This window comes from Homo sapiens, chromosome 4 (genome assembly GCF_000001405.40).
Source record: "Homo sapiens chromosome 4, GRCh38.p14 Primary Assembly".
In the NCBI taxonomy this organism is placed as follows: Eukaryota; Metazoa; Chordata; class Mammalia; order Primates; family Hominidae; genus Homo; species Homo sapiens.
Window position 1 is genome coordinate 1,767,309 of NC_000004.12, and position 23,434 is coordinate 1,790,742.

General features: G+C 63.4%; 1 long non-coding RNA gene across 1 annotated transcript, besides 5 other annotated features; it reads right to left on the reverse strand.

The window, feature by feature from the left end:
• Positions 798–1,363: an enhancer, noted in NCBI's record as "H3K27ac-H3K4me1 hESC enhancer chr4:1769833-1770398 (GRCh37/hg19 assembly coordinates)". NCBI's record gives its function as "activates a minimal SCP1, AML or CMV promoter by ChIP-STARR-seq in naive H9 embryonic stem cells {active_cell/tissue: H9 hESC(naive)}" and the evidence as "EXISTENCE:reporter gene assay evidence [ECO:0000049][PMID:30033119]".
• Positions 1,364–1,929: an enhancer, noted in NCBI's record as "H3K27ac-H3K4me1 hESC enhancer chr4:1770399-1770964 (GRCh37/hg19 assembly coordinates)". NCBI's record gives its function as "activates a minimal SCP1, AML or CMV promoter by ChIP-STARR-seq in naive H9 embryonic stem cells {active_cell/tissue: H9 hESC(naive)}" and the evidence as "EXISTENCE:reporter gene assay evidence [ECO:0000049][PMID:30033119]".
• Positions 4,263–4,372: a silencer, noted in NCBI's record as "silent region_15143". NCBI's record gives its function as "represses an Ori minimal core promoter by ATAC-STARR-seq in GM12878 lymphoblastoid cells {active_cell/tissue: GM12878}" and the evidence as "EXISTENCE:reporter gene assay evidence [ECO:0000049][PMID:35858748]".
• LOC124900648 (uncharacterized) lies at positions 4,975–9,626 on the reverse strand. Its single transcript, XR_007057990.1, has 2 exons — positions 8,746–9,626; positions 4,975–6,877 (listed from the first exon to the last, which is right to left on the reverse strand). It is a non-coding gene; the product is annotated as an uncharacterized LOC124900648 (long non-coding RNA).
• Positions 10,238–11,001: an enhancer, noted in NCBI's record as "NANOG-H3K27ac-H3K4me1 hESC enhancer chr4:1779273-1780036 (GRCh37/hg19 assembly coordinates)". NCBI's record gives its function as "activates a minimal SCP1, AML or CMV promoter by ChIP-STARR-seq in primed H9 embryonic stem cells {active_cell/tissue: H9 hESC(primed)}" and the evidence as "EXISTENCE:reporter gene assay evidence [ECO:0000049][PMID:30033119]".
• Positions 17,580–18,954: a transcriptional cis regulatory region, noted in NCBI's record as "candidate enhancer chr4.260 targeted for multiplex CRISPR interference". NCBI's record gives its function as "positively regulates FGFR3 gene expression with high confidence in K562 cells {active_cell/tissue: K562}" and the evidence as "EXISTENCE:mutant phenotype evidence [ECO:0000015][PMID:30612741]".

The following is a 23,434-nucleotide window of genomic DNA, read 5'->3' on the forward strand; positions in this document are numbered from 1 at the left end:
CCTCCCGGCCTGGGAACCACGGCGCAGCCTGAGGGGGCGGGTCTCCCCTCCTCCCTCCCTCCCCTCCTGCCCCTCCCTCCCCTCCTGCCCCTCCCTCCCCTCCTGCCCCTCCCTCCCCTCCTCCCCCTCCCTCTCCCTCCTTCCCCCCTCCGCTCTGCCCCGCTCGCCCGGCCGCTCCCGGCCTCGGTGTCCCCACCGGGAGGCGCGCGCGGACCCTCCGGGCGCCGAGGGCTGGGGTCCCGGGCGCGAGGCCGCCGGGTCGGGGGCGGGGCCGGCGGGGGCAGCGGCCCCCAGCGCCCCGCGCTCCCCTTTCAGCCGCCTGTTGTTGGGCCAACAGCTCGGGCCGCAGCCGCCTGAAAGGCCGGGATTAGCGAACATTAGCGGCCTTTGAGCGGCGCCCGGGGAGCCCCTTCCGCCCGCCACGCCCGCGCCGGCCGGAGCCCCCCGCCCCGCGCCCCGCGCCCCGCTCCCGACCCCGCTCCGCCAGCAGCGGCCCGGAGCTGCCCTTTGTGCAGAGCTGGGGCGGCCCGTACCGTCGTGCCCTTCGGAGAGACCCAAGGGTGTTCTCCAGGTGGGAGGGGTGGTGCCCCCGCTAGGTCACGGCCGCCGCCCCCACCCCGGCCCACCCCGCCTTCCACCCCCACCCCAGGCCCCGGCTTCCAGCCCTTCTTCGCAACCCCAGCACCGCCTCCTCCCGGCAGCCAGCGGGAGTTTCCTGAGCTCAGCCCCAGGTCGCTGGGTCCCTGCACGCCTCCCGTCCTCCTGGAAGCCCTGGCTCCAAGGTTCCATAGGCAGGTTAGCACCCCTTCCCCACCCCCCACCTGGCCTCATCCTTTTCTCTCAAAGTAGTTTCTGGGCTCTGGGGCCAGAGGGGAGGCTGCTCATGAGATGTCGCTGTTCCCAGACAGAGCTCCGGCCCTCTCACATATGCGGAGCGCTGTCTGAACGCCCGGCCCTATCCCGGGACACCTGACCCAGATTACATTACAAAAAGGTGTTGTTATTACCCTCATTTTACAGGTGGGAAAATGAGGTGCAGTGAGGCAGCCCAAGGTCACCCTACAGCAGGTGTGGAGGGGGAACTTGACCTCAGCCCCAACACCAAGGGTGTACTCGCCCGTTCTCACCTGGCCCCGCCGTCTCCAGGGCCGCCTATTTAGGGTAATTGCTGGCCCAGGAGCCCAGGGGCTCTGCACATCTGCCCAGCCCTGCAGGGGCCTAGGGCAGGGGTCTTGGCCTGGACCACACGCGTGTGGCTGGCCCTGCGGTCCACAGGGGATGGCCTGGGCCGGGCTTCCCTCTCTAATCCTCCGTCTTTTCCTGCTCATGCTGGCCCCAAGCGCAGCTCGACCCTCGCTGCCGCCCAGGACCCGCTTCCAGCAACCCAGCCACAGGGACACGTGCACACATGCACACGCAGGCACACACAGGCACAGGCACCCCAGCAGGCGCCCCGGCCTCAGGAGAGTAAACATCTTCACCAGAGGAAGCAACAAGCCCTCTCCCAAGAGAAAAAATGTGGCCAAACCTGACCCAGGCAGGCCTGTGGGGGGCCGGCTGGGGGCCCCATTCCTGTTGCCACCCAGAGTCACGTTGGCCTCTGAAGTTTGGTGGTAAAACATTGACAGTCCCCTGCCCCCCACCCACAGGCCTGGCACCCACACGGGTTGCGTTCTGGGAGGAGTGTGGGGCCAAGCAGGCCAGCAGGGCTAGGCAGGTGGGCACCAGGTGGGCACCTAACAGGTGCTGTTGCCCCAGCGCATGTGTGGGTGGGCTGCAGTGAGTCCCCGGAGGGCTGTATCGGCGGGCCCCCTCTGCCCCCCACATGCCCACAGCCCCGTGTCTCCTGATGCCCCCACCCTGTGCCCAGATAGTTCAGGACCAGTTCAGGCAGGTGTGGGGCCTGTGGGGCTTCAGGGGGCGGCCTTGGCTCTAGGGGGCACCCGTTGGAGCCTATCAGTGCCCAGGGCAGAGGCTCTGTGGGTCCCGCCTGCCAGAGTCCTCTGTCCTAGGCCCCACGGTGATGACCCTGAGCTCAGGAGCCCCGTCTTTGCTGGTTGGAGGAGTTTTTGGCCAGCTCTGACCCCCTTGCCTCTGGAAAGGCAGAGTCCTCCGAGTCCCCCATGGCTTCCGCTCTCCTGGCCAGGACAAGGACAGGCCTGGCCGGATCCTGTGACTCTGAAGAAACCACAGGAGCCTGGGGTTTGCAGCGGGAAACCCGATCAAGTAATGACAGGGTTGATGTGGGGGCGACTGGCCAAGGGGGGGCCGCTCCACCATGGGGGTCCCATGGCCTCCACTTCCCACTGAGACCAGGCAGCAGGGCTAGTTCTCTGCCTTTGCTCTTGTACCTTCAACCCTGGAACTTTCAGCAGCTTCTGGGTCAGTTGGGACTGCTCTTCTGGAGTCAGCCCCGGGAGGGGTGTCAGGCCAAGGGGAAGGCCATGCCCCATGCCAGCCTGCCTCCTTGTCTCATCCCTGAGCCACCTCCAGGCCCAGGTCCCAGGTGCGGGTTGGGACAGCAGGGAAGTCAGGTGGAGTAAGGAGGAACCACGGTTCCCAGGGGCCTGCAGCCCTTCAGCCCCCCGAGGCAGGGCTCAGCTGGGCCTCCCAGAGGCCCTCCCTGAGGAGGCTGCCCCACTCAGGGTCTGGGCTGGACCCCTCAGGCCTGGTTTCTAGTACCTGGCCAGGCCTTTGGGCGGCTCCCAGGAAGTCCAGTGCAGAGGTGAACGTGCAGGAGTTCTGGAGGGTTCTGCAGTGGCTGGCCACACCCCTGCACCCACTAATAGACCAGGATCCACCCACAACCCTTTCCCACCACCCCAAGACACTTCATGGCAGGGCTGTGTTCGCCCCGCTTTCTAAAGGGGAAACCGAGGCAGGCACCAGCGTGCAACGACTACCTTGGTCACCCTGGCAGGAAGGAGGAGGGCTGGTGAGGAGGGGGATGTGGCCTCCCAGCACTCATGGGCGCGGGGCGCTACTGTGCAGGTTCAGGCGGGGCGGGCTCTGGGGTGGAACCGGGGCGGGCGCCAGAGCCTCCCTGGGCCCCGCGGCAGCCCGGGCGGGCAGCTTTAATTACCGCTCGCTGGGCCCATTGAGCCTCGTGCTAATCCGGGCCGCCACCGCGGGCAGCCCAGGCGGGTGTCCCCTCCCCCTGCGGCCCGGGCACGGGGTCCCCGGGTTCTCACGTCCCGCCGGCCCCAATTAAAGCGAGCTCGGCGGGGCCGCTGCTGTGCTAATGAGCTCTGTAGGCCTCTGGGCTCTGTGCCGGGGGTGCAGAGCGGGTGGGGGTGGAGCTGGCTCTGAGAGGGTGACTTGGGACCATTCCTGGGAAAAAGCCCCAAAGACTCCCCCACTCTGTGCCCACCCCCCAGGAGAAGCACCTGATGGGAGAAAGGCTGGCACAGTGCAAAGCCCTACCAGGGGTCTGCAGGACTCGCCCCCAGAAGTCAGGACACCCACCATCGGGCAGGGGTGGGGGAGGACGGCTTCCAAGAGGGCAGTGTAGCCAGGTGGGGGGCACCGGGCTCGGGGTTGGGTGGAGTCTGCCCACTGTCTCAGCTCCCTGAGGGCTTCCTCTCCTCCGGACACTGGTGGTCGCGGGCATTGGTGGCCTGGGGACAAAGGCCATGCTGGTGCATGTTCTGGCATGCACCTGAGGCTTGACTCCTGTGGGACACAGACACTAGGAGGGGCCCCTGGGCTTTTCACTCGGAGGAAACCTAACCCCAACCCTGACCCTGGGACCTGAGAGGCAAAGGGCAAGTGAGGGCTGAGGTCTGTACGGCCCAGGGCTCCAGGCTCTGCAGCTCTGGGTAGCAGAGGAGGCAGGGGAGCAGGACCAAACACGTCTCAGGCCCACCAGGGGTGCCCGGCCTCAGACTGCACTGCACGGGGCAAACTTGTGAGGTCCCTGGGGGCTCTGTGGGTTTGCAAACCTCTCCCCACCCAGGGCCTTCAGGTCACTCTGGAGCTGTGACCTGACCAAAGACTTGGGCTCAGGCTTGAGGCCTGGCCATGGCGATGGGGGGCTATGGTGACGAGGAGGCCCATGGCGATAGGAGGACCTATGTCAATGGGGTGGTGGCACAGCACACAGGACTCACCAGAGTGAGAAACTGGAGGGTCCCGGGAGGGTCCCTGGCCAGACTGCGTGCCCGAAGGCCATGAGGACAGCGGGTGTGGGCTGGGCAGGGGCTCTCTGTCTCGGGTGGCACGTCACTGCCGGGAGCACCCCCTCTACTCGCCTGGCCTGGTATGCTGTATGCAGCCTGGGAGTGGCCACCCCTCTCTGGGTCCAGTTGCCTGTCTGGAGGCCAGGCTGGGTGTGTGAGGACCCTGCGGGGGCTGGAAGTGTGGGCCAGGACCCCTCCTCCCCCACCCCAGCCGGCCCGATGCTGGGGCTCGCGGTTTTGCTGGGGCCTCCGGGTCTGGCTTGTGGCGCAGCCCCGCCCCCGCCCTCCAGTTCTGCACCGCAGCTCGGGGCCCCAGACTCCGAAGGGGGGTGAACGGGGGCCTTGGCAGGCAGAGGCCCCAGCTCAGCCCACAGAGGCCCAGAGAGGAGCCACTGGCAGTCTACGGGGGGCTCGGGGCAGGCATGGGGAGGGGCTGGGAGCACGCTGGGCCTCGGCTTCCTGGTGCCAGCAACTTGTGTCCTGATCCCTAACCTTTCCGACCTGACCGCTTGCAGGGGGGCCTGGGGCCTGCTCAGCAGGGCACTACCAGGGACTCTGCCCCGGCCCCTCTGTGCACACAGACACACGGGCACACAGGCACACGTGAGCACATGCCTGCGGGTGTGGGGCACACCCATGAATACATGGCCCCTGGGCAAACATAGGCCCCAGCCCTGGGAGGGGTCCCTGGGAGGGGCCCCGGGTCTGGTCCCTGGCAGGGTCTGGGCTCAGTGGGTGTTTGTGGTGCCTGGCAGCGGTGGAGGCCGAGAGTGTGCAAAGCAGCCTGCAAGCTGTGTGATGGCGGCCCAGTTTATTGGGGGAACCCAAGCCTCCGAGGCGGGGGGTCGGGGTGACTGTGACCAGCCACCTCTCAGACTGGACCACAGGGATAGGGACTTTACCCAAAGCCAGCTCTATGCCATGCAGAAGCGTGGTTACCCACACACTTGTGTCCAAAGACCCAGAGATGGTGCGGACCTAGGGACAGGTCAGTCCCTCCCCACCACCCCATCTCAAAGCATGGGAAACTCAGGCTACTGTCAGGGGGCACTTATGGCACCACCAAAAGATGCTTGTGGCCCTCTCTTCCCACGGCTGGGCAGATGGCCAAGAGTCAGGCAGGAGCTGGGGGATCTGGGGAGTTGGCCCAGGCCTCCACCTCCTTCCCCCACGTCCTCTCTGGCCACCTTGTTTGACTGGGGGATGAGGGAGGGGCCGGTTGTGTCCAAGGTGGCTTGTGTCCTGGAGAGGAAGGGACCCCTTGGGTCCCCCAAGCCTGCTCCACTCCCACCCCATGCCCCTCCCTCTGGGCCCCCTGATGGAAGGCAGGAAGGGGAGGTTATCACTTCCAACTGGCCCTCCCCTGGGCCCTGGCCCACCATGCCCACCTCTCTGCCTGGCTCGAGCCAGTGCCAGCCCTTGTTCCCTGGACAGCCGGTGAGCGCTGGAGGTGTTATCTCTGACAGGAGCAGAATGGACTCGTCGCGCCCGAAGCAGGTGTCGGCGCCTGGGATGGGGCCAACTGGAAATCCTACCCTGCTCACCACCCCCCACCCGCTGCAAACCTGGCGGGGCCGTCCCAGGAGACGCAGAGATTAGCACGACTCTTGTCCCTGTCCCTCCCCAGCTGATCTGCCCCAGATATGGGCAGGGGCCGGAATGGTGGGGCCGGAGCCGCCTCCAGAGAGAGATGGGCTCTCGAGGTTGGGTCAGGGCCGAGCAGGGCAGCTGGTTCTCTGGTGTTGGTCTCCCATTTGCCGGGTGGGGCCCACCCCTGCAGCATCTGAGTCTGTGGAGGCCCAATCTCAGATCCCAGCTCCCTTCCTGCTCAGATGGCAGCGAGATCTGGGTGAGGGTGGGGGCCGAGAGGGAGGCACGTTCGGGCTGGCTCACCCAGCTGTTCTCACACCGGCCTCCCTCTGGGCATGCGGGCCCAGACCATCCCCAGGGGCTGTCTGTGAGCTGCCAGCTCTGATTGGCTGCTGGCCTCTGCCCGCCACGGCCTCTACCCAGGGTCCTCAGGTCCCACCTCCCACCCCCGCTGCCCGCACTGGCCATGCACTTCTGCTCTGAGACCCGACTCAGCTGTGGCCCTCTCTGGGAAGCCCTTTTAAGCCCTCCACCCCAGGCCTCAGCCCCACCTCCCCTCCTGTTCTCATTGCCTGAGATGGGCCCTGTTGGCCCAGATGGAGGCTCCCCTCTGCCCCGTGGCTCTGTGCATAGGGGTGCGGGCAGCTGCCGGACCACAGCCCATGTCTGTTCTGACCCCTCATGGCTCAGTGTGGGTGATGGGGTGGTAGGCCCTGGGACAGGGGTGAGGGGATCTGAGGAGGGCATCTTCCAGCAGGCACAAATCCCAGCAGGTGCTCAGCTCTGGCCTGGGACGGTGGCTCTGGGCTCTAGGGCTCCTAAACTCACTGCTGGGCTTGTGGCCCTCTCCTCCGGGCCTGTTCTCCATGCCTAGGTGGACAGCCCCCAGGCCCTGCGCGATCCTCTGGTGCGGCTCAGCCGAGCCCCCAGCCTCACCTGTCGCTGGGAAGGCAGCTTCAACTTCTTCCTGGCCTTCCTGCCTCCATTCTCCTCCATTCAGCCTGGGCTGCTTCCTGAACCCCACGTCCTGATGGTGGCACACTTCCCTCGGAGAGAGGCCCCCCGGGCCATGTCCTGGCTCATGGGAAGGATGGGGGTGTTGGGTGTGCCTGTGACGGAGGTTTTTGACACGGTTGTGTGAGGCTCTGCTGGAGCTGTTCTGCAGCCCCGTGTCCAACTCCAGACCTTGGGGATTTACCCGAAGCCCCCAGGCTATCCACCTGCCTGCCCTTTCCTCCCTATCCAGCCATGTGCACATGGGGGCCTCACCAAAGCAGCTGAAGCTGCAAGAACATCGAGCCTACAAGGCCACAGCGGCCTCAGCCAGGCTACATCTCCCAGACTCATCCCTGGGCTCAGCGCAGCCTCTTGGCCAGGAGTCCGAACTGTGAGCCCCACTGGCCACTATGGGCCCTTTCCAGCCATGAGGGAACCCAGGCCCCAGAAGGAGGATGGGGTTCTCATTCTGCCCAGAAGAGGCTCAGGGTGGGCCGATATTCTCAAGAACCCCACCCTACCTGGGCCGCCTACAGACACTGGCCTGAGCGCATCAGACGGACAGAGCTTTGGTTTTAGGAAGATGCCTCTTGGGCCAAGTCGGAGGATGGGGCTGAGGTTGCCAGTGCTGTCGGGGTGGGCCACAGGGTCAGGGCAGAGGCTGTGGCCCTGGGGTGTCAGGCTATGTGAAGGCAGGCCACTTCTGAGCAGGGGGGGACCTTGGTGGTCCGTGGCCCAGTGTGGGGGCCTGGAGGGTAGTATTCACAGCAGAATAGGATGGCCTGGGACCCAACGTAGGTCACCCAAGGCACAGGGATGCCCCTCCCACTGCAGTCCAAGGGAGCATTGGTGCATGGGATGAGTAGACCCCACATGGGCAGGTTGCCCCCTGAGGTCCTTGGAGGGGTAGACCTCCAGACAAAGGCTGAGGACCAAGTGCAATATCCCCAGAGGGAGCTGCCCTTTGTGGCTTAATTAGGAGCTCCTGGGCACCAGCAGGCCGGCCCGAGGGGGCCTCTGACATGGTGGCTCACACCTGCAATCCCAGGACTTTGGAAGGCTGAGGCAGGAGGATCACTTGAGGCCAGGAGTTCAAGACCAGCCTGGGCAACATAGCAAGACCCTATCTTTTTTTTTGAGATGGAGTTTTGCTCTTGTTGCCCAGGCTGGAGTGCAATGGCACGATCTCGGCTCACTGCAACCTCTGCCTCCCAGGTTCAAGTGATTCTCCTGCCTCAGCCTCCCGAGTAGCTGGGATTACAGGTGCACACCACCATGCCCGGCTAATTTTTGTATTTTTAGTAGAGACAGGGTTTCACCATGGCCAGGCTGGTCTTGAACTCCTGACCTCAGGTGATCTGCCTGCCTCAGCCTCCCAGAGTACTGGGATTACAGGCATGAGCTTCCGTGCCCAGCCAAGACCCTATCTCTAAAATAAATAAATAACCCAGGGGACCTCTGAGCTCTGCCCATTCCCATAGCCGCCAGCACTCCCTGTGGGGCAGCCCCACCTGCAGATCTGGGGTCCCATGCGCCCTGCACCTCACATCCTGGACAGTGGGGCTCCCTCCTCACCCTCAACCTGCTCCTCCCATGGTGTCCCCAAGCTTCCTGCCCTCACTGCCACCCTTGCTTCAGAGACCACAGTCACAGTAGCTGAGAACCAGCCAGGAGTCTGGCTGCCCTGAGCCAGCCCACAAAGCCCATTGGCCGTGGATGAGCGGACATTGGACAAACAGCCACAGGCCCCATGCTCCAGCTGGGCAGGCCAGGCCACTGACATGCCCACGGCTGTGTCTCCGCGGCCCATGAATGGACCGTGTCTGTCTGGGCAGGCGCCGGGGGCTGGCAGGAGCAGCGCCTGGGACACAGAGGACAGTGCTGGGTCAGCGCTGCTCGGCTGCCCCGGGCAGGCAGAAACCTCCCACCCCTTCCCGACCCCCACTGGGCCAAGGGACCAGGACCTAGCAGCAGGTCTCACCACACACGCCTGGGGCTGTCCGCTGTGCTTCAGGCCTCCAACTGCAGCAGGCCTCCACCAGGAAGTCCTCCAGGAAAAAGACAGTCCCTGCCTGCCAGCTCCATCAGGCCCAGGCAGCCCCAGGCTCTGCGTGAGTCAGTGTGCAAGTGCAGAGGCCAGGGCTCTCTGCCTCGAGGGAGTTCAGACTGTGGTGTGCATGGGGAGGATGGCAGTGAGGGGCAGGAGGGCTCAACCCGAGTCCTTCCCCTTTTCATAAATGTGCCTCCGCCCCAACAGCGGATCAGTCAGCAAACCCATGTGGTTGGGCCTTCCAGCCACACCTGGCTCTAATGCTTCCTGCCCTCCCAGCCACCACCTGCTCAGATCGAGGTGGTCTCCTCTCGCTGGGACCCGTACCCAGCTCCCCTGGCATCAGAGCCCCCATCCAGCAAACAATCTTTTGAAAACCTTATGTAGGTCACATGCCTCCTCCATCAGCCGCCTGAGCCCCCATTTCACTCCAATAAAAGTCTCAATGGCGGCTCACAGTGGCCTCCTCCCCTGTCCCAGGGGCCACTCGGCTGCGAGCCCGCCCTGCTGTCCTCAACCTCGACCCTGGCCTCAGGGCTCTTGCAAGCTGTACCCTGGGCCCGGGTGATGCAGGGACCTGGCCACAGCCCATTCACTGGGTGTCTCTCAGCCCCACCCTCACTGGCCACTGTGCAGGTGGCCTGGGCCTGGCTGGCCACGTGAGCACAGCACTGCCCGCGCTAGGATGGCATCCATTATTCACCCACAGCGCTCGTCCAGGCTGGGCTGGGCTCATGTCTGCTCACGGGCATCTGCCACTCCTGGAGGGCACATAGCTTGCTGGGCCGGGTGGGCGACAGAGCCTGCGGTCCGCTCCTTGGGCCTCCGGCCCAGCCCCCCCATCCCACAAACACACACACCAGACTCTCCCCAAACACGAATCCATTTCCATTTGTGCTATTGATTGTCTGCGCGGACAAAGGCCCCTTTCAGACATGTCAGAGGTTCAGCAAATAAATAAATGAATGAAGTCCTGGCGGAGGAAGGGGTATGGGATGGGCTGGGGGGCGGCTGGCACCTCCTGTAGGTGGCCCGGCCCTCAGAGGGTGCCTGAGCTGGGCAAATGGCCCAGGGCACCAAGGAATGGGCCCCAACCTAGGGGGCTGGAGTTGTGTTTGGTGGGGTTTAGGGTGTAAGAATGGGAATTGGGGGTTTTACATGCTCCTGCAAAGGTGAGGCAGGCTCTGCGTGGAGTTGGGGTACCCGTTGACACACCCTGGCCGCTGTGGGAGGACAGACTCAGAGGCCCCAGGCCCGGACTGGGCAACAGTATGGTGGCAGGTCCCTGTGTGTCCTCAAAAGCTGGGTACATCCCCACATGCCCCTTCCTAGGGTTTCTGCTTGGACTCAGACCCAGGGACCACCCTTAGTCCAGGGAAGTAACCCACCTGGTGCATCTGAGCTCCACAGAGTGTGAGCTGGAATGGGGACCCCCATGAGCTGCCTTCCAGGGTGGGAGTCTAGAGCTTCACCTCTCTTCCTGGGACCCTCCAACTCCACAAGGCTGGAGCTCAGGGGGACACGTGCCCCAGGAGGCTCCTCCCAGCCCTGCCTGGGTCAGACCCCCTGAGAGCTCTGTGCTACCCCCAGCCTGGGCCTGAGGATGCCTTAGGGGTGGGCCCAGCATCCCACCCCAGCCTCTTCCACCAAGGGGGTCGGGGTACCCAGAAACCTTGAGTGCAGCCCTGAGCTCCTTCTGCTCCAGCCCCCATCCTGGGCTCCTGATGGCTGGAGTGAGGCCCTTGGGAGGGTGAGGGCTGCTCTTCACAGATGGGCGTGGCCCAGCTCTTCTTGGAGACAGCAGGCCATGGGTGGGGCTCCCCAGGCAGGTCCTAGCCCAGGCAGGGACCATGTAGGAGCTATCCATCATCCTTCCCCCCAGGGCAGAAAGGGCCAGAAAGAATCTGAGCTGGCAGCCGGAAAAGGGGGCTGGCCAGATCCAGGAGGACTTCCTGGAAGAGGGGGCTAAGGAAAAGGAATGCAGAGGTGGCTGGGCCTCATGGGAGCTGGGCTGGCCAGCTGCTGGATTGGCCACTCCAGTCCTGCCTGGCCAAGCCCCCAGGGCAGCGCTGACTCCTGGCCATTCTGGGGACAACAATAGCCGGCATTTAAATTCCAATTGAGTCGGCCAGAGTGGCCGCGGGCGTGAGAACGGGAGCCCCCACCCCCAGCCAGAGCCCCGCCCGCCACATTCCTGCCTCCCCGGAGATGGCCGTGGCCAGGGCCGTCGCCAGGGGGCCGGGAATGCAGCGCTCAATGGCTTGGGACAAGGGCCCATTGAGCAGTGACGGCCAGGATTGAGCCATCAGCGCCCCCCACTCGGGACCCCTCCTCTGTCCCTGCCCCTCCCCCCAGCGTTACTGGTGTCAGCTGCTCCAGGGACCCTGCTGATACCCTCCTGGGCTGGGCCCTGAGAATGCGTGGGCCTGGGGTCCATCTGACTGGCCGCTGGCCTCCACCTCACGTGCCCTCGCCACCTGGCAGCAAAGGGGCCTCCCGCCTCACGCCTCTCTTCTGCCTGAAGCCCCTGGGGATTCCCAATGTCCACCGGCATCAGAGGCCATGCTTCTCCAGCCACAGGGCCAGCTGCCCGCCACCTCCCTTGCACTGCTTGGTCCTCCCCTGGCCCGCCCCTGTTCTGTGGCACCCAAGAGGCCTTGCCTGGCCATCGCCCACTCTTGCCAGCCCCAGATGAAGGGACCCTTTTCCCTGCTCTGTCCAGCATCTGTCTCGAGCCTGGCACTCAGGGACACCTACCGTATTTGAGGGGTCCAGGTTTTCATGCAGCGTGGCCCCCAGGACCTCAGGGCATGGTGACCTCAAGCCAGCCTGTTGGAAGCAAGGGTGAAGGAGGCGTGGCAGTGGCCCCTTGCCCTGACCCTGCTCGAGCCCCGTGGTTGGAGGCCCATGCCAAGAGGCCAGCCCAGGCCACCGAGCCTGCATCCTACCTCGTGCCTGGGTCTCCCTCTCTCCTCAGCTCTGTGATGCCTGCCTCAAACCAGGGCCCATCAGTGTCCTTCCCCCACCCAGACAGGGTCCCGCCAGCCCCGAGCATGTCCAGCCCAGCATGCTTTGCTCAGGGCCAGCCCAGCATGCTTTGCTCAGTCCTCGCACTGTGTCTGCACTGTGTCTGGGCACAGTCAGGGCAGGAGCGTGTCAGGAGGACCAGGGAGCCTGGCCTGGCATAGGGCAGTCCCCGGGCTGGCGGGTGACATGAGGCACAAAGGCCTCAGCTGCTGGGGCCTCACTTGGGAGAGAGCTTGGAGCTGGGGGAGGCTGGCACCATGCCCAGGGGACAGGTGTTGAGGGGCCCACCTGAACATCTTCTTCTACTCTGCCTGGGAAAGGAGCTCTTGCCCCCATCCCCTGACCACCTGGATGGAGGGTTCCCTGGCGTGGGGAGAAGGGGGCATCCATGGCTGTAATGGGTGGTCTGCCAGGCCTGCCACCTCCCCTGGCGAGTGGCAGGACCCCAGACAGGCCCAGCGATGGGCCGAGGGGCAGGTCCTGGGCTTCCGAGTGCTCCCAGGGAATGGGGGCCGGGGCTCCAGGCAGCATCAGCCCCTGGGCTCAGCCTGACCACCCTCATGCTCAGGACCTGGCCCAAGCGCTGCTCGGAGATCCCTGGGGCAGGGCCCCATGCAGGGCTGACGCACCAGCCTCCCTGCACAAAGTGCCCAAGGGCCCCACCTCCAGCCTGGGCCACCATGTGGCCTTCGAGGGCAGGGCCATGGCCTATGGCCCAGATGAGCCCCCAGGGCTGGGAGCAGCCCCAGACACCCAGGAGGTGCTCGCTGGGTGGCTGGGATTGAATGAATTAGTGAAGAGCGAAGGGCCAACGCCTGATTCACAAGAGTCCTGTGAGGGCTGGTGGCCTGCAGCACAGGCCTCTGAGGTCCCCAAGCCTGACCCTCGCTGCCCTGGGGTTCGGGAAACACAAGCCTGGAGCAGGGCCCTCTGCTGGCCTCAGTCTCCACACCTCATCGGCTGGGTTGGGGGTGGGGCAGGGCCCATGGCCAGGCCCCAGGGTCAAGGACAGCTACAGGAGGTTCCTCTGGGAACTGCCTGCCCCTCGGGGGCCCAGCTGGCCTCGGTCCTGCTCTGGTCCAGGCCCAGGTCCTGCCCTGGGAGCTCACGTGCCCCGAGGGGCTGCCCACCTTTCAGCCTCCTCCCCAAATCCATGGGGTCATCTGATGCCTCCAGGCCTTTGTGGAGGCTCTGCCTGTGGTCAGGAGGCCCACACCTGGTGGGTAGGATTTGAGAGTAGATGGGGAGGGCTGAATAGCCCTGAGGGGTGAGGTAGGCCTGTGGGGAGAGGATGCGGAAAGGAAGTGTGCACCAGCAGGTCTGGGGAGCGAGGTGGTCAGAGAGGTTGTTGGGAAGCCCTAGCTGTGCTGAGCTGGCCAGAAGCCCGGGAGCTGTAAGAGTCCCGAGCAGGTGGAAGGCTGAGGTGGAAGAATTGCTTGAACCTGGGAGGCAGAGGTTGCAGTGAGCCAAGATCGTAGCACTGCACTCCAGCCTGGGCAACAGAGTGAGACTCCGTCTCAAAAAAAAGAGTCCCGCGCAGGAAGGGGACTGAGCCAACCCGGGTTTCCATGGGCCCTAGACGGTCTGGGAGAAGGGACTGAGGAACAGGCGTCATGGTGAGGCTGTGAGAGGGTGCTCAGATGTCCCGTGTGGGCGGCAGGGCCTGGACCTCAAGTGCGCTTTGAAAAAAACACAGCTCCAGCAGCGCCGTGAGCAGGGCTGGACCCACCACAGCCTCCCCTCATTCCCTGGGGCCTGGGCTGTGCCAGCTCCTCCAGGCCCAAGTGGCCCTGCTCAGTGTCTCTCAGCTCTGGGGTCCCTTGGCAGGCGTGGTGTCCAGCCCAGAGCCGGTTATGAGCCCATCGTGGCTCTGCCCTCTCCACTGCTCCAAGACACATCTGCAGGGTGGGGGCCAGAGTCTCAGCCCTGGGAGGGGGAACATGGGCACAGATGCCAAGGGTGGGGGCCGAGCCCTCTGTCAGCCCACAGAATCCCGCTGCATTGCTCTCTGCTGAGCATGGGGCACCTTCTTTCTCTCTTTGCCCTGCCTGCCGGGCAGCTCAGACCAAGCCAAGGGCCCAAGGGCGGTAATTCTCTCTCCCCAGGTTCTGCAGTGTTTTTATTTTCTGGGCCTAAATAAATCTGATATATAGGGCCAGGGGCGGTGGCTCACACCCGTAACCCCAGCACTTTGGGAGGCTGAGGAGGGCGGATCACGAGGTCAAGAGATCGAGACCATCCTGGCTAACACGGTGAAACCCCATCTCTGCTAAAAATACAAAACATAAGCCGGGCGTGGTGGTGGGCACCTGTAGTCCCAGCTACTCAGGAGGCTGAGGCAGGAGAATGGCGTGAACTTGGGAGGCGGAGCTTGCAGTGAGCCGAGATCGCGCCACTGCATTCCATCCTGGGCAACAGTGAGAGACTCCATCTTAAAAAAAAAAAATTACAATAAATAAATCTGATGTATAAAAGCTGTGTCTTCTCAGAAGCTTAAAGCTCCAGCTGGGCATGGTGGCTCATGCCTATAATCCCAGCACTTTGGGAGGCCAAGATGGGCAGACTGCTTGAGCTCAGGAGTTCAAGACCAGCCCGGGCAACATAGCAAAACCTCGTCTCTAAAAAAAATACAAAAATTGGCCGGGCGCGGTGGCTCACGCCTGTAATCCCAGCACTTTGGGAGGCTGAGCTGGGTGGATCACAAGGTCAGGAGATCGAGACCATCCTGGCTAACACGGTGAAAACCCATCTCTACTAAAAATACAAAAAATTAGCCGGGCCTGGTGGCGGGTGCCTGTAGTCCCAGCTACTCGGGAGGCTGAGGCAGGAGAATGGCGTGAACCCGGGAGGCGGAGCTGGCAGTGAGCCGAGATGCACTCCAGCCTGGGCGACAGAGGAAGACTCCATCTCAAAAAGAAAAACAAAAAAAACAAAAATTAGCTGGGTGTGGTGGTGCTCGCTTGTAGTTCCAGCTACTTGGGAGGCTGAGGAGGAAGGATGGCTTGAGCCTCAGAGGCGGAGGCTGCAGTGAGCCGAGATCGCGCCACTGCACTCCAGCCTGGGCGACACAGCCAGACCCTGTCTCGAGAAAAAAGTAAAAAAAGAAAAAAAACAGGAAGCATAAAGCTCCACTGTGCCGAAGTTGTGCAGGGTACACGTCTCTCTGTTCCCAGCCCCGAGGCCTGGATAGTATGAGAGGATCCAGCCACCCTACCCCAGTGCAGCCCTAGCCCCAGCAGAGCCACCACCCAGACCTGCAGCCCCGGGCTGGACTGGGGGTGGGGCAGCCCTGAGCTGGGCCCATGCTGTTCACAGGAACCAGCTGTCTGCTGTTCGACTGGAGTCCTGTCTCTCACAGAGTCCCCGGTCAAGCCTGGGTGCCCTCTACTGCCCGTGAGCCACACAGCAGGTCCGGGGGCTTCCTGCCGCCCCTCCTGAGCATGCAACCCCACAGGCGTGCCCGCCTGGGCAGCTGCTTCAGGGTCTGGGGGCAGCCCGAGGCGACGCCCAAGCAATAGCGGCCCAGCGCCTTCCAGAAGTCTCCAGACACTGAGGCCTCTCCTTGCAGGCCTGGTCGCAGCTTTATTGCCCCCACTCTATGGATGACTGCATGGGTGAGCCCACGGCCATGCAGGGAGCCCGGTCCTCCGGGCTGGGACCGGCCTTGAGATGGGATGCATGGCCAGGAGGCGGGCGATGGCCGAGGTGAGGGGCTCAGGGAGGGGGCTGGTCATGGCATTCAGAGCCAGGTTATGATGGGGCCTGGCCATTGACGACAGACGGGGTGATGACAGCGGGGCCCCAGGATGGAGCCTGCAGTCCACGACATTCAGAGCAGAGCATGGGGCATGCAGGAAAGGGGGCCAGAGGACCTGCTGGGTCTTTCCGGGTGTATGGTGCCAGCAGGTGTCCAGCGCCTCCAGCCCCTTGTCTGAGAGCAATGGAGACAGGTGGGGGGGGGGGGTGCAGGGCGTCTGGGTAGAACCTGAACAGAGAGGCCCTGGGGAACAGGCTGGCTGTCGAGTCTCCACCTGCCCAAGCCAATTTCTGGCACTACCAGTTCTGTGAGCTCCACAGTAGCAAGCAGTGGGGTCCTATAAGCTCTCTGGGCGGAGTGCCATGTCTGCACCCCTCACGGGCCTGCATGCACAAGCCGTGCAACTTGAGTCCAGGGCATCCTTAGGAGAGGGTGTGTGGGGCCGCCCTGGGGGTCCTGCCATGCTGTGGTGGGGTCACAATGTCAACGTTGCAGCGGGGGGAGGTCCAGGCACAGGACCATTTTGTCTCGGGGGAGCTAAGGGTCTTCCAGCAGTAAGGGGTGGGTGGGCAGGGGCAGGGATGGGGGCGGGATGGGGGCGGGATGGGGGTGGGATGGGGGTGGGATGGGGGGTCTCTTTGAGACTCACCAGCCCCTGGTTTTGGAGATTTGCCCGTCCCCCTGCTCTTCAGTGGGGTGGATCTGGGAGGACCGCAGAGCCAGCAGCAGCTGGTGGACCGACCCTGCCCAGCAGGTGCACAGATTGCCCCAAGGCAGGGCTGGAAGCCCAGGCAAGCCCAGGCCTCTGTGGGGCCAGGGAGGAAGTGGGGAATGAAGAAACTCTGTGGAGGGAGGTGCCTGCCCTTGGACCCTTGGCTTGGTCTGAGCTTCCTGGCAGCCAGGGCAAAGAGAGAAAGAAGGTGCCCCATGCTCAGGAGAGAGTGGTGCAGCAGGGTTCGGTGGGCAGACGGCTCAGCCTCTACCCTTGGCACCCAGGATGGGGGTCACCTGCAGCCCGTCCCTCTCTTCAGTCCCTGCCCTCCAGGAACCAGGTTAGAGGCTGGGCAGGGGTATGGGGCCCAGGGCTTCAGTCCTGAGGTGCCCGTGACAGTGTCCTGCAGTTCCTGCACCGCCAGGAGGATGAGCCTCGAGGGCTAATGAGCCCCACACGGCCGGGCCAGCCTCAAGGCCAAGGCACAGCTCTTGCGGAACCCTGGCAGCTTCTCTGAGGCAGCCATGCGGAAGATGGGGGTGTGTCCTGGTGCAGCAAGCTGGGGGTTGCTTGGGAGGCAGGACGAGCTTGACCCAAGGGAGGGTGCTTGATGGGCAGTCCTGAGGTGCTCAGCCAGGAAGCGACTATGATTGATTTGCTGTGCACCCAGGGCAGGGGCTGTCCTCCCGAAGCTGAGCTTCTTCACCTGTCTTCTGACTCACTTATCTCCCCGAGCCCCGGAGATACAAGGATCACAGGCAGGGGCCTTCTCCTGAGCTGGCCAGAGCTGGGCAGGACACTTGGGGCACGCAGCTTTTGTGGGCTAGCCTGGAAACTCGGCTATCCTGGACACCACACTGGCAACAGGTTGTCTGGAGCCAGGTCGGGGCATGTGGGGCCTGAGCCAAGGCTGTCAGCTGAAGCCTCTGACATTACTTGTGTCCCTAGGACAATCACACGTGAGAGCACATGCACACGTGACCATGTGAGCACACAGGCACGGGTTCGGGCCCCAGGCTGTGCTGCCACCTGAAGCCCCTGCCCTGGCTGTGGATGCCCATTTGGCTGGGCACAGCAAGGCGGCGGCCTTGGCACAGGGAGCCTGCCCAGCCTTGCTCTGACCCAGTTTTCCATGCCCAGGCAGGCGGGTGGCACTGGTGTAGTGGCTCCCAGAGCTTCTCTTTGGCAACACCAATCCCCTGGGCCCAAAGCAGCTCCACAGGGGCACCTGGATGGCTCCATGTGCCCTGGGCATGTCCTCTGAGAGGGTGGGTGCCCCCCTGGGATGTGGCCACCCAGCCCCAGCGGTTTCACACCCTAGAACCAGTGCCTTCTGCCTGTGGTCCCTAGGCACACAGCTGCCGCTGCCTGAATGCGCTCTGCCTGCCCTGCCTTCTGCCTCCAGATGAACGGACCTGTCATCCAGGGAGCGATCCCTGTGGCCCTCCACTCTAGACCTGCAGGCTGCTTCCTTGCCCACTCCTGGGGGTCAGTCATGGCCTGGCTGTAGACCAGATCCTTGAGGGGTGAATCTGGGGATAAGCCTCAGAGCCACAGGGCCTGGGCAGGCCTCAGAAGGCATCCCAGAGAAGGGAGGGTGGAAGGTCCCCATGGGCAGGGAGGCGCAGGGAGCAAAGGCTGCTGGGAGCAGGGAGGGGAGCTGGGCGGGCGGAAGGGCGGCCGTGGGAAGCCAGCCCTGGCCTGGCTGGCCTGATAAGCTGCCCCTTTGATCCACACTGAGGCAACACAGACCCCCATCCTGAGATAACCCCGGGCCTGGGACCCAAGGCTCTGGTCAACCCGCCCTCCCGAGTGTGCGCTGCCCTGCCCCTCCGGCCCTGACAGTGACCGGTCCTTGCTCAGCTGCAAGCTGGGTGGGTGCAGTCTGAGCCCAGGCCTGGCGGGCACTCCATGTGCCCCCACCCCAGGACCTGCTGGTCCTCACCCTGCCTTCAAAGCCTCCCCAGCCCCAGCCTCTGTGTCCAGCTCTCTGTCCCCTTTGGTTGGGAAGGGGCACCTCCCCCGCCCCCCAGTTCCCATCCCCTTCACTGTGCCCCTGGGAGGCCCCTGAGGCCCTCACTCCCCAGCTGGGGCTCAGCAGGTTTGAGGCCCTTTGGGCAGCCCTGTCTGACCAGGGCTATAGTGTGGCACAGGTGTGGGCACAGGTGTGGCATAGGCGTGGGCACCAGCTATGTGTGGCTTGGGTGCACACTGCGTAGGCACCTTCTCCCGGGCGCCTGCCTCTGCCTGGCGCCGGTCAGCACCCCCATGCCCTCGGTCCCTCCCCTGCCCAGGTCAGTGGACAATGAAGCTGTCAGCAGACTGGGGCCGGGGGAGGCAGGCAGGCGTGGCGGGGAAGGGAGGCCTCAGGAGGCGAAGATGTCTCTATTAGGGGCTGCAGACCTTGCTTCCACTGTCCTGCCCAGCCCTGGGGACTCCGAGAGCTGGAGGCAGAGGTGGCCCCAAGCTTGGGGCAGAAAGGGTCGTCTTGTCCATCAGGGCCCCAGTCAGCCTTGGGACTGGGTCCCTGGAAAGGCAGGCCCATAGATGGAGGAGCCCAGAGCGTGGGGCTGGCCACAGGTGGTCAGGGAGGGTGGAAGCGTGGCTGGGAGCTGCACAGGGATGAGGTGTCGACGGCGCTGACATCCCAGCCCTGCCAGCCTCCTAAGGCACCCACGGCCCACATCTCCCTGCTGAGCGGAAGCACTGGGGGACGCTCTACCCAGTGCCTCAGCAGACCCTCAGCCAACGGCTGTTAGAATATACCTCGTGTGAGGTGCGTCACGATACCCAGCTGTAAAATGGGGCAACCCTGTGGCTTCAACAGACTCCCCTTCCCAGTGCCTGCGGCTGAGCTGGAGTGGCAGGAGGGCTTCTGTGGGAGCAGGTGGCAGGAAGCATAAGGGCTGGGGGACCTGCAGAAGCTCCGTACCCCCGGGAGGCTGGGGCCAGAGCAGGCTTCTTGCAGGGGCGCTGGTTTCGGCCCTCACCCTGACTGCCCTGCCGGATCCGGGCAGACGAGGCCCCACGCACACCGCAGCAAGGGGCCCAAGACGCCAGCCAGGCCCTCACCTTGGCAAGAGGTGGCTTCTGTTTCTGACAGGTCAACAGCTGGGCTAGGGGAGGTCTCCAGGGACCAGCCACGCCCCACTTCCTGAGGGCTGGAGAGGGCTGGGGAGGGTGGCCCAGGTCTGCGATCATCAGGGCCTGGCCAGGGCCTTCTTTCCCAGATTCCCCCAGAGCTGGAGTCCCCAGAGCCACGCCCCTTCCCTGGCATGCCCTGGCGCCCGGGCCATCTCCTCCTGGGCACTTGCGGAGGTTGCCCCTGCTCTCCCCACTGCCCTCTCAGCAGGCGTGAATAGAGTCCCTCATAGCTTGGGAGACTGAGGCCCCCAGCAGGTGCCTCTTACCCAAGACCTTGGAACTGGGCGAGGTCCTCCGGGCCCACCAGGACCCGCCTCAGACATCAGGCTTTGCACTTGCAGCCCGGAGCCTCCCGACCCCACTCCCAGGCCAAGGGCCTCTGGCCGCAGCCTCCGCCATCATCTGCCGGCTTCTGGGGCCGAGCATCAGGGCCCTGTGCCCCTGCTGAGCGTGCCGGGTGGGGGCCGGGCTGAAGGCTGCACCTGGAGGCAGGGCTCCCGAGGAAGCCGCCCAGGGGGTCAGAGCCAAACAGCTGCCTCCTCTAGTCAGCCCCATGCAGCCTTACGGGGGCAGCGCCCTGCAGTGGCTGCGGGTGGGGCCGGGTGGGGCAGGGCTGCCCTCCCTCATGCCGCTGGGCACCTGGCCTGGGGCAGGGGGCTCTGGCCCACTCTCGGGTCTCCCTAAATACTGTGGCGAACACCCCACCCTTCCCAAGCTCAGCTGAAACCTCCCTGGGGCAGGGCTGTCAGATCAGGCCACTGAGCGCCTCCTGCTGCCTGTGGCTCTGTGCCTCAGTTTCCCCACCTGTCAAGTGGGTGTTGGTGATGTGGCTGGCATGAAGTTTCTGTCAGGAGCCACCAGCACTCCGCACCTTGCCATCCACAGGTTCTCAGCCACACAGGGTGTGGGGTTGCCCCAAGCCAACCCATTTGTGGGGGTGGGGCCGTCCCCACACCCCGGCTGGGCTGGACGGGATCTCCAGCCTCTCGTGGGCAGCTGCCTGCTGGGCCCAGTTGGCCACTCTGGACTCTTGGGCCCTGGCCGGAAGCACGACTGACGTTGTCCATGGTTTGGGGACGGGCAGGCAGAGGGTGGCCAGGCGAGGCCCTGAGAAGGGGCTCTGGCCGAGGCTGGCCAGGTGACACCCGGAGTGGCGGGCAGGGCTGAGAGGAAGGGGCATCCTGAAGAGGGCGGAGGCCGCGGAGGGAGGAGGGTGTGACGTGGGGTTGGACCGGCGGCCCCGAGGCCTGGATTCCTAATTCAGCCGGAGCCTGTGGAGTCGGGGCTTGTTTATTCTTGGCAGGAAGGCTGGTGCTGGGGGGGCAGAAGTGGGGAGTGAAGCCTTTTCAAAAAATAATAATAATAAAAACGCTCATTTAGAAGGCTCCCAAGGCGTGCTGAACTCCAAAAGGGTCTTGGAAAAAATGCTGAGAGGGTTTAAGTGTAAATGGACCCAAAACACCATAATTAAATTTCCTTTAAATTTACCAGAGTTTGGGGTCAAAGAAAAAATAAAACTTAGGGAAAATACACTTGAGGTTTCAGGCAAATGCCAAGTGCTTAGGAAAATAGATTCTGAGCTGCTCAGCGGCTACCGGCCTGGCCCCCGCCATCCTGGGAGCTGCCCAGCCTTAACCCCTCCCTGGCCAGCCCTCCACTGCCCGCCCCACCCACCCCTGTGGGGGACCCCACCACCACCTCCTGCTGCTTCCGCACAGTTCGAGCCGCCCTCCTGTGCCAGACTCCAGGCAGGGAGCTGGGCCTCCCCCACTCCCAGGCTGGGGCAGGAGCCCAGGGGGAGCCTGAACATTCACCCCCGCCCCCATCTCTACAGCTCTCTCTTGTGTCTGCAGACAGCTCTGGTTTCCTTTCTTTGCTCATCTGGGAGCAGCCACATTTTCCAAACCAAAGTCAGAACTTGAGGTCTAGTGGTCTGAGTGAACCAAACGGTAAAAAGGCCAGAATGTTTGAACTGGGACTGTCCTGCCATATCCAAGACGACAGGCTCCCAGCAGCTCATGACTCACGGTGTTACCCTTTTTCCTCAGCCTGCCAGGAAGCTCAGAGCTAAAATTAAGGGTCTTGCTAGCTGCGTTGGCTTAGGGATTTTGGAATATTTTTTCTTCTTCTTCACGTTCTTTAAAATTTCATTTCTGTTATAATGAGCAAATCAAGGTTTGTTTTTTTATTTTAATACTTTTCAAATTTTGTGAGAATAAATTTAAAAGGCAAAGTCAGGCATGGTGGCACATGCCTGTATTTGGGAGGCTGAGACGGGAAGATTGTTTGAGCCCAGGAGTTCAAGACCAGCCTGGACAGCATAGTAAGACCCTGTCTCAAAAATAAAATAGAAGGCAGAAACTACCCATAAACTATAATAGCTATAGCCCCACTAACAGCCCAGTCCAGTTCAGCAGGGCTACCCAGGGGCCCTTCTTCCTCCATCCCATGGTGGCCTGCCCTGATCCCTGGCACCCAACCCTGTGCCCTGACAGTGTGGAAGGGCACTAGTGGTTCCTGGGGAAGGTGGTAGGAGATGGGGAGCTCCGAGGGGAGATCGCATGGCTCCCAGGGGGTCCCATGGGCAGAAGGGACTTGATACCCACTCCGGACCTCCGTGTCCCCTGTCCTTCCACTCAGCCTCATGGCAGGGCCGAGGGAAGCTCCCCGCAGCAGCCCCAGCCCTAGGCCAGGTTCTGATCCCAGAGGGGAGCTGGGCAGGAGGCTCTCTCTGGCAGCTCGCCTGCCCTGGGTTCCAGGTCTCCAAGCCTCGGCCTCCCTGCCCACCTCCCTGTCGGGAAAGGCGGCAGCTGCCTGCCCGGAGTGCTGTGGGGAACAGGCGGTGTGGATCTGAGACTGTGCTGGGAATGTCCTCTCTGCCGAAGGCGCCTCTGCCATTTTCCGAGTACCTGCAAGGGAGACGCAGGAGACGCGGGTGTGAGCGGGGCCATGGGCAACCTGCGGAGGCCCTGCACCCAGGATGGGCCTCCCTCCCAGGCACCCTCTGCCACTCACCCACGCAGGCCCCAGCAAGCCAGGCTGCCCAGCTCTGAGTCACCGCCAGGGCTGGGCTGGGCCGGGCCGTCAGCCGCACGCGCCGCTTGTCTCGGCCCCTGCCTCCCATACTCACCTTCAGGGGGGACCCCTGGGTATGGGCCTCAGGAGGTGGGTGGGGGTGCAGGGGGAGTGGGTAGGGAGGTGTAAACCGGAGTCCAGCAGATGGGAAGTTCCTGTCCGGCCGGCACCTGCTTGGAGCCTCCTGCACATGCGGACCCTCAACAGGCTCCCCGAGTCCTCGCCTGCCCTCCCTGCCTCAAAGGCCCCAGAAGGGCCTACTTCATCAGGTGCCACGAGGATGAAGCCAGGTAATATTGCAAAGGGTCTGTGGAAACGCTTGAGCAAGGGCACTGTGATGAAATTGTGGCTACTGACAGCTAATGTGCAGAGTCACCGAAATTCAGGAGTCAAGCAGCCGGCCTGGCCTCACCTCAGTGTCGGGGGAATGCCATCTGCACCTGTGGGCTTGGAAGTGATCCATTTGAACAATACAATTATTCAGACAATACTAAACCGAGCTTTCAGGCAAGACCTCCCGTGGCCCTGACAGTCCTGGGGCAGAGTGGGCAGCAACTCCTTGCTGGTGGCCGTGGCGGCACTAGGACCCTTTTGAAACCAATTTGGCAAAATTAGCGGCACCACGGAAATGCTCCTGCCCTTTGACCTAACTGCTCCCAGACAGTGCCACTGGAGAAGCCATTCAGAATGTGGAGGGCGCCAGAGGAGGCAGCTGCCACGCAGTGCGTAGTGGGCAGAACGGCGGCCTCCAAAAGACATAGTCATGTCCTCACCCCTTGCAGCCTGTGAACGTGACCGTATTTGGAAAAGGATCTTTGCAAATGTAATTAAGGTGAGAATCTTGAGATGGGGGATCCTCTTGGATTATCCAAGTGGGCCCTATATCCAACGACAAGTGTCTGTAT